Below are 15,284 nucleotides of genomic sequence, written 5' to 3'. Positions count from 1 at the left end.
TATCTTTCAATCATACCTAGGTAATTTTTATTGGCCTTTATCCCTTTTTGAGTTTATTCTCCCATGTGGACCAAGATTAGGACGTGAAAGTAGAACAGGAGTTTTTAAACTTCTTTGTTCTGTAAACCCCTTCAAGAGTTCAGAGCAGCCTATAAACCTCTTAGAATTTTCCATTTAAATCCATAAAATAAAATACGCAGGATTAAAAAGGAAGCCAGTTATATTAAAATATACTTATCAAAATAATTTTTAAATTATGGTATGTATTTGTTTCTTTAACATATTAAATAATAAGATATAGTTGCTGGTTTAATATCAACCATGACATCAAAATGGTGATAAATGATATTTTGGGATATCTATAACAACTGGAAAAAATATATAATATCTATTTGTAAATATAGACAGATTTGCTGATACAGCTGTGGGTTTTTTTGTGCATAGTCATAATTGAAGGAAGTGTTAAATTTCACCTGGTGATAAGTGAAAAAATATGGTTTTTTTTTCTATTCAAGTAAAAGAATGGCATGGCCTAGAATAAAAAGAGCAGAAGAGTGCTTTGATTCTAAACCAGGACTACAAAAGAAAACTTAGGTCCATAATGGTACATTCTAGCTTTTCATCATTAACGACTTTGTGTAGGAGATTGTAGCCAAATCCCTATAGAAATAAACTATAAACGCTCTTCATATATCTTCCTTATAAACTCGAAGAAGTGCTAGGATGGAAATTCAAGAGGTTGGAATTCCAGCATGATTTCATCACATCTTTATTTTTACTAACCTCTAACTGCATGCATAAAATGTACTTACTCATCTGACTACGCTAAGTTCAAAAGCCACAGGGACAAGCTGTTCCCTTTCAGTGGTATTTTTCTAGTGTGAGATAGGAAAGAGCCCGGAGACAAAGAATTTTTTAGTAATGGTAGTGATGCTAGAGAGATTATTCACTTACGAAGTGTTCTGTAACCTCTTGAATATATGAACTTACACAAAAACTCCTCTCCTGTAAAAAGCTGAGTTTGTTTATATATTGAAATGACATTACACATTTCTCTCAAATGCTGTTTGCTTTGCAATTCCCATATTGTATAGATTTTTACAATCATAATTTTGAATAGACTTTGAGATGAAAAGATAAACAGAAATACAGTTGATAAAGTGGGTAGCTATGAAAAAAGTATTGCATTTTACAGACATTTCTAACTGACTGATTATACTCTACAATTTATGTTTTGTCCTGATATTTAGGGGCTGTCAACCTAATTGAAAGGAACGTAGCTAGGAATTTAACACAAAAAAGAACACGAGAACAAAATCAGGGTAGAAGTACTAAGTCCTGAATAGAGACTTAATCAATACTATGATTGGGTGGGGGAATGATAATGATAATTAATATTACACTAAATACATTTAAATTCTATGTAAACTTTTACTGCTATAAACCAGAATATGTTTTTTCTCTGTACTGAGTGTTTAGTGCTTCCCGGATAATTCATTCATTTTATAATCATATCCAAAATTAAAAAAAAATTCCTTTGAACATTTCTAAAAGATGTAAGGTAATAATTTAATCCATGTTTACATTTATTATACAAAGCAGGTAAGCCTACCTCATGCCTTCCCAGAAGGTAATGCCTGTGATTATTTTCTGAAAATGGAGTCATTTGGAAAAATAAGATCATCATGGTAGGCCACAGACCATTGTTACATATTAGGGCCATGGACAATAAAAGGATTTGGCCAGCAGATTTGACCAGTTTGCCACCTCTCCTTGATTTGCACAAAGTACATTCGAGTAAGAAAGGAAAACTGAGGTGACAATGTGGCTCCACAGCCAGCTCCTTGACCGAGAACACTTCAGTCTTTGTGTGGAGAGATGAAGGAACACTATAAGCATGTTGATTGGATAGCCTCTCAGATTATCTCCTGATCTAACTCCATTCAATCAAATGCCAGAGTCTGAGAGAAAGAGAGGTTATTACAAAGAACAAGGCAAATCAAAGCTGCATCACTGTTCTTTGTGTAGATAAGATCCAGCTCCACATTGTGACTTCAGTGCAACAATAGAAACTAAATAAAGGGGAAATATTTCAGGTGCATAATATTTGCATACAACCTATGCACATCCTCCCATATACTTTAAATTATGTTTAGATTTCTTATAATATCCTAATACAATAAATCCATGCCAATTAATCCACCACTTAATTTGCGTGGATTTAATGTAGTCATAAGTGCATTGCAAATTAAAGTTCTGCTTTTAGAACTTTGTGGAATTTATTTTTTTCCAAATATTTTTTATCCATGGTTGGTTGAATTAGCAGATATGGAACCACAGATACAGAGGCCAGACTGTATATACTTGTCTAACTTCTTCTAATATATTATGAACTTTCTGAAAGTTATAATAATATTTATAAAATATTATAATATTTATATTTATAAAATTTGACCAAGTGCAAAATAATTTCAATTGCATTATTTCATTTGACTTAGAAAAAATTGATGAAGCAGGTGTTATTGCTATCCCCATTTATATGGTGATAACTTGAGACTCAAAGTGATAAAAATGACTTATTCCATTCTATATTTTATTAAACATTATTAAATTAAAAGCCCATTGTTTAACTTCACATTATGTTGCTTGCTTCTCATGTTCTTTGTGGTTTGTTTTGTAAACCCAGGAACACAAACCACTGGGTGGTTTGCATACAATATTTTTTAGTGAGTGAATGAAAGAATACATTAGTAATCTATTCATAAATGGAAATTTGACATTTTTGTTAGTTACAATTGTTTTGCAAAAAGTAACAATTGTTGGAATAATACAGAACAAAATATAGTGCATTAATAGTTTTGTGGTAGCTGGCACTGTATGAGAGAAAGTTAATAGTATTGTGGATTGAATTTTACATAAAATAGTACTTAATTGATTTATTTTTTTATTTTTTCTGATGACATCAAGAATATGAGGAAAATAGTAAGTGTAATATAGGATGTAGAACTTTGTTCAATTTTGTTTAATTTAGAAGGTGTAAAATTAGTTTGAAAGTTTCTATATCAGATTCAACCTTCCTTAATACTCAGAAATATTTTAAAACAACTTGCAATTAATCTTTTAGAGTTTTTCCATTTTAAATTGATTTTACATTGAAAATAATAGTGATTTAAGGCTTAACATCTCTGTAAAGAGCTATGAATCACACCTGCTTTTGTACATCTCTGCTCATGTAAATGTGAATGCAAATTATGAGAATGAGAAAATTATAGGCAATTTACATTTGTTGTAGCCTTGTTTCTATGGCAATGGGAGAAGATGACCATAATCTGTCGTCCTGGTAACCAGAAATGCACATAGCATCATAAGGGGCTGCCCAAAGTGCTTCTCTTCAATTCTTAGTGAGAGAATAAGAAGGGCAATAGAATCAGCTTTAAAATATCTTCAATAACATGGCAAGATTTGATCATTCTTAAAACTATTGTCCCTAACACTTCTCCTAAGAGTCTGCATGGCACTCACTGTTGCTGAAATTAACAATAAAAAGGGAAAGGAAAAAAAATAGAAAAATCAAAGCCTTTCTCATTTTTAAATTATGCCTTGAGACAGATTAAGCTGATCACATTTTTAAAAATGATGCAATAGAAAGAAAGAAAGAAGAATAAAAGAAAAATATTAAGAATTACCATGCACATTAATTTACAAAGATATCTTGGAATTTTATTTAAAAATTACTTGATTTAACGGGAAGAAACAATATTAAGTATTTCCCTCTAGAGTATACATTCTTTAAAAAATGCTTCTGATTTCAGTACTCAAAATTATACTGTCTGCTCTATTATCAAAATGTCTTAAAGGATTTAGAATAATTACTTAATATATTTTAAATCTGCTCTCCAAGAAAGAAGTATCCATTTCATAAAGTTATGCACATCTGTGCACACACAGTCAGAAAAGAAATAGATAGGATTAAATGGTATATATAAGCATTTCAGAAATAGTAACTCCAAAAAACAGTTAACAATAAGTTTTAAAATATATTATGAAAATTTGCATTCATATTTCATAGGCTATAAATGAAAAGTTTTTGATTGGATGGCTTAAAGTTCATACTGTGCAAAAAGGTGGTAAATTAGATACAGTTGGAGCATGGCCAAGTATACATGCAGTTACTGCTTTTACAAGTAGAGGGCTCTGAAAACATGCACACAGTCAGCTGATAAAAGATATATAATTCTTATTTCTTGCTTAGTTCAAATGAGAAATCACTGAATAGAACTTTCCTTTGCTGTCTATTTTAGGTTGGAAATAAGACCACACTGAGGAAGTGTCCAGCCATTCCCAAGGATACTATCAACTAGTATGCATAGCATATTATTCCATTCTTATATGTTAATAATGGGTGACTTCATATATTTTTCTAATTCATTCCTTTAGGAAATTTACTTCTCCAACAGGTCTGCCTTAGAGGGATCCATACATCCTGGTCCTTAACCACCAGGCTGGATCAATTTTATGGAGAGTTGGCTTCTTTATGTTGACTCCCATTCCATTAGGTGATAACATACATGCTTGATTCTTTTCTTTAGCACCAAGTATAGTTAAAAAAAAAAATCAGTGATCTCAAAAGTTTGCTATCTATAGGCTTCATTTTTAATTCACCTCATTGGAACCCAAGGCACTCTGGAACTGAGAAACTGTATATCCACCCATAAGCTTCTGTGTATCACTTCAGTCCCATTTCTAATAGTTTGCTAAAATGACTCTGAGTTCACTTTTTCTACCTACACTGTGTAAAATTTAGCTAAGAATCTAAGAATCTAATTCATAACATTTACTCATAGAATACCTTTTTCTATTCTAATATATAGATTGTTTGAATTAGAATTAACAGATATTAATTATAATTGAAAGCTAAACATCTAAGAAAGAATATACGTTCTACTTCACATAAACTTCTACTGTAATAAATCCCAATGGGACAGAACAAATTCTAAAATTATCCATACTTATCTTGACCTACAGTAATTCATAAACAACACCTTGCATCATAGATATGTAGTTATTCTCAAGTTTTTTCATTATTATCCATCACATCCTGAAATATTTTCTCTCTTGACATTCCTCGCTACTTGCCATGCCATTTGCAGCCTTTGGTCAACATTTTAATCTCATTTCCTCTAATTTGCTTCTGCACTTTAAAGCAGTGTTGGACAAAATCATAAGGTTCTACTGAATGGGTCACTATAATCTTTGCTATCAAACCATAATTTGTATCAAACCCTTATTTTTACTTATCAATCATTTTATTTTATTATTTTGTGGATTCACTTAGGCTGCCTTATGGCAGGTCTTTCCAAGTTTCCAGATCTCCTTCTGCTTTCAATATTATCTCTGCTTGTCTCATTTAGCGGGTGACATTGCTTCTTCATTCTCTGGTAAGCCTAAAATCATTAGACGTGATTTTCACAATTTTCTTACTCCAGACAAACCCAACACCTGTCAACACATACTACTCTCAATTCTAATACATAGCTGTCTCTTCATATATCACTCCTCTTAGGCCAGAGGAAGCCCTTGATCCCAGACCCTCTTTCTTTCTGCTCTAGCAAATATCTTCTCTGTCCATTCCTCTTCCATTCAACAAGAAATGTATTCTGTAATACCACATGGGACTTAAATGCCATATCAAAGAGGGAGATAGCAATAACTTATCAATATTACTATTATTACTATCACCATTTACTTCATTACTGTTCCAGGATTTTTTTTTTTTTTTTTAGATGGAGCTTCACTGTTGTTGCCCAGGCTGGAGTGCAATGGTGCAATCTTGGCTCACCGCAACCTCCGCCTCCCAGGTTCAAGTGATTCTCCTGCCTCAGCCTCCCGAGTAGCTGGGATTACAGGCATGCACCACCACACTTGGCTAATTTTGTATTTTTAGTAGAGACGGGGTTTCTCCATGTTGGCCAGGCTGGTCTCGAACTCCTGATCTCAGGTGATCTGCCCACCTCAGCCTCCCAAAGTGCTGGGATTACAGGAGTGAGTCACCACACCCGGCCTTCAGGATTTAAAAAGAAATTATTTTGAGGTCATCATGTACTATAGAAAATTCATCCAGGCATTTTCAAGGAGCTGTTATACAAGGCCGCCCAGGAAAGTCTGTTACTCAGAATACAGAAACTGGAAAGAGAAAATACGTCTTATAGTTCAAATTTTGTTGCAAAGATAACATGTTCAGAATTCAATTTGCTATAATATGAGTAATTAAACGTGTAAGTCTTAACAAATAGTCCTTAAAGAGCATTTAATATATACTTTTCAGTTAGGTAATAATATATTATTTAGATTAAAAGTTATAGGTGAACTACTACTATCACTTGGTACTTCCAAGATTTTACATTCTGGTTGGATGACAAACATGCATTTTTTCTTTTAGTATAACTCCCTGTGTCAACTCCTAATGTCCTTTACTCTTTCTCCCCATTATAGTATTTAATTATTTCCCAATGCCCAGCCATTATCATAATTTTCCAACATAATTCTAATGTGATTTGTCATCTTATAAAGCCCAAACCCATAATATATTCACACTAAGAGATATTGCTTGATATCTTTTGTGCACATTTACTGATGGCCAAACCTGAGTAAGTCCATTATATATTTTATTTAATTCTGGCTGAGGATTTGAAGCCTTACTGGAGAAAGTATGGCAATTGTATTAATAGGCTTCTGTACATCTTCAATTCACTTTCATTCAACAAATACTTATTCATTGCCTATTTTGATCAGTGCCTATCACATGGTTGGGCAATGGGAAACAAAATGAGATAATTCTTTCTTCTGAAAAGCATTGCTCATGCTGGCTGTTAGAGATGTGTGCTAAAATAAAAAATCAATAACATTTGATGAACGCTAAAACAGAAAGAAAAAAGACTGTGCATGGTCTGAAGGGGGCACAGATAAGGGGCACTTCATCCAGCTAGAGTGAACTTAGGAAGTGTCATAAGAATAAATGGATCCCAGGTAGAACGATGACTGCAACCAGAGAAAGGAGATATGAAATAGTCTAATGTATTTAAGTAATTATAAATATCTTTGGTCTATTGTAGGAATTGAGGCAAGGCAGATAGAAGAAAGATTGGTAAGACAGAAATTTGTATATCACAACTTAAGGAACAAAAGAGTGTCAGCTTGATTCAAAGAGGAGGGATTAAGACTGTTGATATAATGAGCTTGATTAACAACTTGCAATGTAGGTTCATGCCCGACAGTGAAATATGCAGTTTTGAAACTTAGGATAGATATCTGAGTAGAAAATATGTATCTGAAAAACATCTTTATATAAGAATGAATGAATGCTGGTTATCGATGAGATCACTCAGCTATTAGAAGTCAAACTAGAAGATTGGGTCAAAGGTAGAACCTCAAGGAATAGCAGCAGAATGCATAAGAGCAGGCTAGGGAGGCAGAATCTTGAAGCCTCTTAGTGAAAGGGTAGAAAATTAAGAAGATAGCTGTGATGGTTAATATTGAGTGTCAACTGATTGGATTGAAGGATGCAAAGTATTGTTCCTGGGTGTGTCTGTGAGGGTGTTGCCAAAGGATATTAACATTTGAGTCAGTGGACTGGGAAAGGCAGACCCACCCTCAATCTGGGTGGGCACAATCTAATCAGCTGTCAGCATGGCCAGAATAAAAGCAGGCAGAAGAACGTGGAAAGACTAGACTAGCTGAGTCTTCTAGCCTCCATCTTTCTCCCCCAGTGCTGAATGCTTCCTGTCCTCGAACATTAAACTCCAAGTTCTTCAGCTTTGGGACTCTTGGACCTTTGACCACAGACTGAAGGCTGCAATGTCAGCTTCCTGACTTTTGAGATTTTGGGACTCGAACTGGCTTCCTTGCTCCTCAGCTTGCCTATAGTGGATCCTCACCTTGTGATCACATGAGTTAATGCTTCTTAATAAACTCCTATATATATATATATATATATATATATACACACACACATACATATAATGATATATATACATCTCTAAAGGGATAGAACTAACGGGATATATATATACACACACACACACACACACACATTCTATATATATATCCCATTAGTTCTATCCCTTTAGAGAACCCTGACTAACACAATAACCCAAAGATGATAGTATCTGATATGGTTTGGATCTGTGTCCCCACCCAAATCTTATGTCAAATTTTAATCCCCAGTGTTGGAGGTGGGGCCTGCTGGGAGGTGATTGGATGCTGAGGGTAGATCCTTCATGAATGGCTTAGCACCATCCCTTTGGTGCTGTTCTCATGATAGAGGTATCATGAGATCTGGTTGTTTAAAAGTGTGTGGCACCTCGCCCCCTCTCCCTCCTGCTCTGGCTATGTGAAGTGCTGGCCTCCCCATTCACCTTTCTCTGTGATTGTAAGTTTCCTGAGACCTCTCAGAAGCCAAGTTGATGTCAGCATCATGCTTCTTGTACAGCCTGTGGAACCTAATTACCAGGACCTGTTAATATGATACCTTACATGTCAAAAAGAAATTAAGATTGCAAAACAACTGAGACAATTCTAGTGATTAGGACTTTGACATTTTGGGGGTGGGGGAAGAATTATTCTACTTACCACATCACAGACTGATTTCATATTACTTCATCTAATCTCTGTGTACTGAAGTAAAATGAAAGACTTCAGGTATTCTCAAGGAGCAACCGTCAGTTGGGCTTAAATAGCTTTAGTCTTGCCAACTCCTATAGGACCCTAGGTAGACTTTTAGAAAGGAGGTATAGGAAAGGTAAGTGGAATCATATAAATGGATATGCTGACAAGGAATTTGCTATTTGGGCGCGGAACTTTGGGCAGAGAGACAGATTTTAAAAGGCGTATGTTGTGTTATATGTGATGTTATCCAGTTTCCATCGACCCAAAAATTTTAGCTGAATGTCTTCAGCACTTTTGGAATCATATTTTTTATACTGGATTTAATCAAATGTTAATGTTATGAAATGGAAGGAAGAATAATGCCTAGTAAAAATCCAGTGTATTTTGGTTACAAATGTAAATGTGACTTATGTTATTTAGCTTTATTTTATTTTATTTTATTTTTGAGACTGAGTTCCGCTCTGTCGCCCAGGCTGGAGTGCAGTGGCACAACCTTGGCTCACTGCAACCTCTGCCTCCCTGGTTCAAGCAATTCTCCTGCCTCAGCCTCCCAAGTAGCTGAGATTATAGGTGCACACCACCATGCCCTGCTAATTTTTTTGTATTTTTAGTAGAGAGGGGGTTTCGCCATGTTGGCCAGGCTGATCTCAAACTCCTGACCTCAGGTGATCTGCCCACTTTGGACTACTTTCAAGCTTTTGATCCTAAATGCTCTCTGAGATGTGATTCATAACCTGTATAGGTTTATTTGCTTATGGTTGCTCTATATGCCACCCAACTTGTTTCTGAGGTCATGAGAAGACTTCTTTGTGATAACGTCATTGGCATCCATACAGAAACTTCTATATAACCTATTTCATATTCACTTATTGTCTCTTTGGTTTATTATATGTTTACTGGTTCTCTAAGACATTTTTGTCTTTCAAAAATCTCAATTTTTAGAATTCCTCAGGGTATTATTACATATAAATTCTATTCCTGATGAACTGTCACTTAATATTAAAAAATATTTCTGGTGTGCAGGTTAGTAGTAGCTATTAGATAAAAGGATCATACTAATACTAATTTCTGGCAGGATGGGCTACACATCTCATTAAATTAAGTGTAACTCTATGACTTGGGAGCCTGCTCAGATATATACCATTTCTAAATATGGATATATATTAAAACATATTAGCATGCCACATTAATAAGTCATTTTAAGTCAACAGCTTATTGTAGTTAATAAAAATATAAGTATTTTCCTAGATCATTGATATGATATCACCACATAAAGAAATCATAATATAAAGTCCCCCCTTATTGAGATATATATATACATTATGACTACAGTATTATCTATATTATGCATACCTAATAGAATTGTGGTTAGTGTTACTTTCAGTATTTTAATAGGTTGCTAGAATAGTATACTAGATTTTAATATAATTGCATATTTTCAATGAATTATTTCACTTGAATCTTCTTAATGGATCTTTACATCTTTTTCGTTTTTAAAAAATCGAATCTAAAATGGAATATTTTTGTTAAAACACTAAACATATCAGCAATATAGCACAGGGCGTAACTACTTCATAATTAATTTCTTCATATGCAACCAGATGAATATGCTCTTTTTCCTTATCTCCCAAATAAGGTCAAAGGTGATTTTATCTCATTATATAATAGATAAGAGAAATCACTTTAAAAGAATAAATGTGTAAACTTTGGAAAGGGAAGATGCTTATGGCAGAAAGGATAGCATTCATGCTGGGCAGGTGAACAGGTTTTCATAGTTAAATAGTTATACTGTTATTAAAGGCCATAAAGTTATAAAAATAAGTTCTACTTATTTGGCTATGGATCTTTAAATAAAATACTCAAATGTTCTGATGCCTTATACTCTCTATTAAAAATTTTAATCAATATCTTTATATAGAATTATTTTGGTAAATTCACTCTCCTGCTGGAGGCTTTAGTATTTTATCTAACATAGTACTTAAAAATATCAATTGTAAAATCAGAAGAAGAGTGCACTGGGATCTTTACCCATTCCTTTATGCACTAGTGTGCTTTGTGTGATATTCCATTGCAAAAACTGAAAATCAACACAACTCTAGTAATTAAAAATGAATGAAGATCAAAAAGATCTCTTCAATAGCAGTGTTCTAGGAAATGCAAGCTTTTTGTACTTGCAACAATATATTATGATATTAATTACTTAAAAGACATCAAAGCATAAAGAAAAGCATTGAATCATTTTAATTCTTACAAAATTCTGAACAAGTTCATTATTTCACTGTTATTTATTTACTTATTCATCTATAACAGTCAAATACTCATATTAATACAAATCATTGGCAAAATTAACTGTTTCATAGCCGGATTTATTTGTTAGGAAGACATGGATTGTCACTATTTGCATCCAGGGATATCAGGGATAAGGAGTAAGAAAAATCACAAGGTGCCATACTTAAGTCATTGACTTGCTTATCAACCCAATACCCCTTTCTCACACCTTCTCAACTTAACTTGGATTTTAATAATTGACTTTAGAACAGTTTACATTAAAAGGAATAAAGCAAACCCAAAATCCAGTGATAGAAAATAGTTCAATAGCATGCTTCTCACGCTTCTTTAACATTTGATGTGTCTGCATGTTTCCCCTCTCGGTGGGTGTGAAACAAGGGTTTTCTAGTATATATGTTCTACATATCAGTGATTAGACTCTAAGAAAAGAAGTTCAGAGAAACATTGAACAATGTCATAGTCAAAACCAAGTGTTGTACATCAACATTGGTCTTATTTTTTACTAGTTATATAATTATGCCAAAAGAAGTTGCAGCTGTTTTTCATTTGGCAATTATAGTTACCAAGAATAAGTAGGTAACTGAGGGAACCAAGTGAAAAAGACAGAAACAGAGAGACAGAAAGAATAAATCCTTGTAAATTTAATCAGCACAGGGAAAATTGTAAATTCGAATTAAATTATGACTATATACTTGAAAAGATAAATTCCCACCTGATATAAACGTGCTGTTTGTCTGTCTATTTTCCATTGAACTTTGCAGTAGCAGAATTATTAAAGATTCACACAGTGGTCTACTATGTAGAGCTAGTGTCGAACCCAATGGGTGTTCAATAAGTACTAATTATTGCTGCTGCTTTGGTACTCTAAGGTGGCCTTGGAACATTGTGTAATCAATGAAAAGAAATTACAAATTGCATTAATGGATTGCTTTTTTATCTTCTCAGGGTAAGGATGGCAAGGAGTAAATAGAACAGATACCTACTTACCTGGAGTGGTGAAAGAGTACTTTCAGAACAGCTTGCCCAAAATGTCTATCCCATACTCTAGAAATTACCACATTTCCCTGAACATCTCTTGTCTGAAGTAATCCTAGCCTGTCTCCAGGGGACACAGGCAAATTCAAGCTCTTATTTTATTTTCTCTAATAATACCATGAGATCGTTAAAACAAATGTGAAAGAAAAAAATATTAAATTAAAAGAAAGATTTTAAAAATGGAAGGAAGGAAGGGGGAAAGAGAAGAAGGAAGGAAGAGAGATAATTAGAGAAACATGCCTTTGTAATCTCAATGTGTTTGGGGAAGAGGAGGACTACTGGCCGTGGGTTAGGAGCAATGATTCTCTCTGCCTCCACCAGTGACATCAGTCACTATAAAAAACAAAACTGCCTATAAACATTTATAAATACCCCCAAGTGGATGATACCTCCCAGCTGGAGAACTACTGCAAGACTTTGTATCTCATGAAGGACTTGTTAAATTAAAAATAACACCACGAATGCATGGGACACTACACCAGTGGCTCTCAGTTTTGGCTGCACGTTAGGATAATTCAGGGGGCTCTTAATATTCCCAACGCCCAACACAGCACCCAGCTCAATTATATCAGAATCTGTGGAGGTGAGACCCACACATCGATATTTTTCAAAGCTCCCCTTCTCCATGCCTGTGATTTTAATGTTGTAATCAAAACTCTTTTCCTGCTTAACACCTTTAAAATAGATGTGTTGACTTAATAACCAAATCAAAACCATAGCACCTCTCTTATCCAAGGATCTGGGACTAGGATTTTAACAGATGTAACAAAAGATGTTAACCACTTACTGGAAGCCTAGTGTTTATCAGGATCACGTTCATTTACATATATATAATCTCAATCCTTAATGCAACTGTACAAGCACAAATTAGTCTTCTTTTTTTATTTTAATAAAGAAACAGGCCGGGCGCGGTGGCTCACGCCTGTAATCCCAGCACTTTGGGAAGCCGAGGCGGGCGGATCACGAGGTCAGGAGATCGACACCATCCTGGCTAACACTGTGAAACCCCTAAAAAAATACAAAAATACAAAAAAATACAAAACAAAAATTAGCCTGGCGTAGTGGCGGGCTCCTGTAGTCCCAGCTATTTCGGAGGCTGAGGCAGGAGAATGACGTGAACCCGGGAGGCGGAGCTTGCAGTGAGCCGAGATCCCGCCACTACACTCCAGCCTGGGTGACAGAGCAAGACTCCGTCTCAAAAAAAAAAAAAAAAAAAAACTTACGTTGTGATGATTGATTAAATTAGAGATTCCAGCTATAAATCTGAGGCTATCCACCTCTTTCTCTTTCAGAGCAGGAGGTAATGTTACAAGAGAGCATTTCTATGGGATAGGCTTGAGCAGGGGCTGTGACCATAGCCAGCCTGTGGAGAGCATTCCCCTAAAAGAAACAGTAGAGGTGGCGGCCTGCTATGGCCAGCATCTGTCTCTGGATCAACAACCCTTACATTTAAATTTGGTTTGCACTGTCAGGTTTCAGTAGTCAAAGACTAGCGGGCACTGAAATATAAAAATAATGGAGCATGAACATGAACACTTTAGAGTTCATGAAAGGCAAAGTTTGGGAGTGAGGATGAGGCAGTATGAGTGAAGTGGTACAAATTTAATTTTTTAGCACTTTCTATTTAGAGCCAGGGTTTATAATATGCAAAGCATAATTCAAAACCCGGATAGAATTACTGAATAAAAAGGAAATCACGAGGTTTCTAATTTTCTTATCCCAAAATGAAAGAGACACATACACTATGTAAATGTCATGACTACAGTGGTCAAAATAGAAGACGAGTTATTAAGGGAATGCATCACCATGAAAATAAAGTCCCTGAGGAGCGTAGTTCCAAATACTATAAATATAAATTTCATTTTCATCCATTTTATTGAGGCAAAGGAAAAATGACATGCAGAGAGAAGGAATAAAGACTTGTAGCATTCACCCACGTAAAAGAAAGTGAAAAATCCCCAGAAAACTTTTAATTATGTTGCTGTGGAATATCACCTCACAATACAAAATGTGTTCTGTTTCTTTATTAATTAGAATAGAAAACTAAATGCCATATTTTGTTTTTTTGAATTATATGTATTCTAGGTTTAAAGGCTGTTTTATTTTTTTCCAAAATATAGATAATAAATATGGTATAAAACCACAACAAGTGTCACATATTCATACCAATCTGTTTTGAATTCATGCATTTGAGGAAGAATATAATTAAAATTTAAACAGTTACTCATTTTCTAAAGCATAAGGAAAATTGTATTTCACTATTTAGTTCCTTTTCTTTTTGTTTTGTTTCCTTGTCTAAAAATTATTTTAGAATACTGTAAATAAACATGTAAAAAAGAATTACGGTTGTAAATTACAAAAAAAAAACACATTTGTTCCATATTTTCTTATTATCATGTTATGTAAGAGCTGGAGTGACTAAGAATTTAAATTTCTAGTTACAAGCATATTTTGCTTAACTTAAAATATTCTCAAATATTTTAAGCAACATATTTTTAAAATCTACAAGACAGTAGTTGAGAAAATAAATGACCTACAAGGACCAGCTACAGGGTTGGTAATCAAATCTGTAATATTGTGTCTTGAAAAGGAATCATGGGGCTGCATACTAAATACCTAACATTATTTCCCCTACTCCCAAAGAGAATATGACTTTCCCCTGCAAAACATTTAAATTGTAGTTTGTATCCAGTGCTCTCAGACGCTCAAATTGTTTAAGACTTTAAAATTTAATCAAGGGATTTCTTAATGGAAGCTAGGAAGAGCAACATCAGAAATACATTTGACAAAAGGGTAACAAATTTCTACTTAATTATTTACAATGACCATATACGGCTACACAGAGACACAAAAGTAGTCAGACTCTGTGCATCAAGCTCAGCCGTCTGAAAGAACAAGGGCATCAATTCGTCCTCACACCATGCAAACGGTTTTCAAGATTGCATCTTGTTGGCCTTGATGAAATTACAAGACTGGGATCTGAAGCTTCGTTCTGGTAATTTATGGCCACAGGTCACTCTGAATTGAATGTTTTCAGGATACAGAGAGCCTTCTTGTCATTTACATGCATCTCATTTTGTCACCTAAAACATGCTTTTCATCATTGCTAAAAACCAGTACTTTTTACTTTTTTCTTCTAGCTTTCTCTTTCTTCTGTATGTATCCCTATCTCTATATATTCCTGTTTCCAGAATAAAGCAGACATGATTTCCACTAACTCCAACATTATAATAAACACCAATATAAAAATAATAGGTTAAAATAATTTATTAAGTTTAGGTCAGGGGTTTTCTTTT

Source organism: Homo sapiens, chromosome 13 (genome assembly GCF_000001405.40).
Source record: "Homo sapiens chromosome 13, GRCh38.p14 Primary Assembly".
Classification (NCBI taxonomy): domain Eukaryota; kingdom Metazoa; phylum Chordata; class Mammalia; order Primates; family Hominidae; genus Homo; species Homo sapiens.
Note: the sequence above shows the minus strand (reverse complement) of the source record.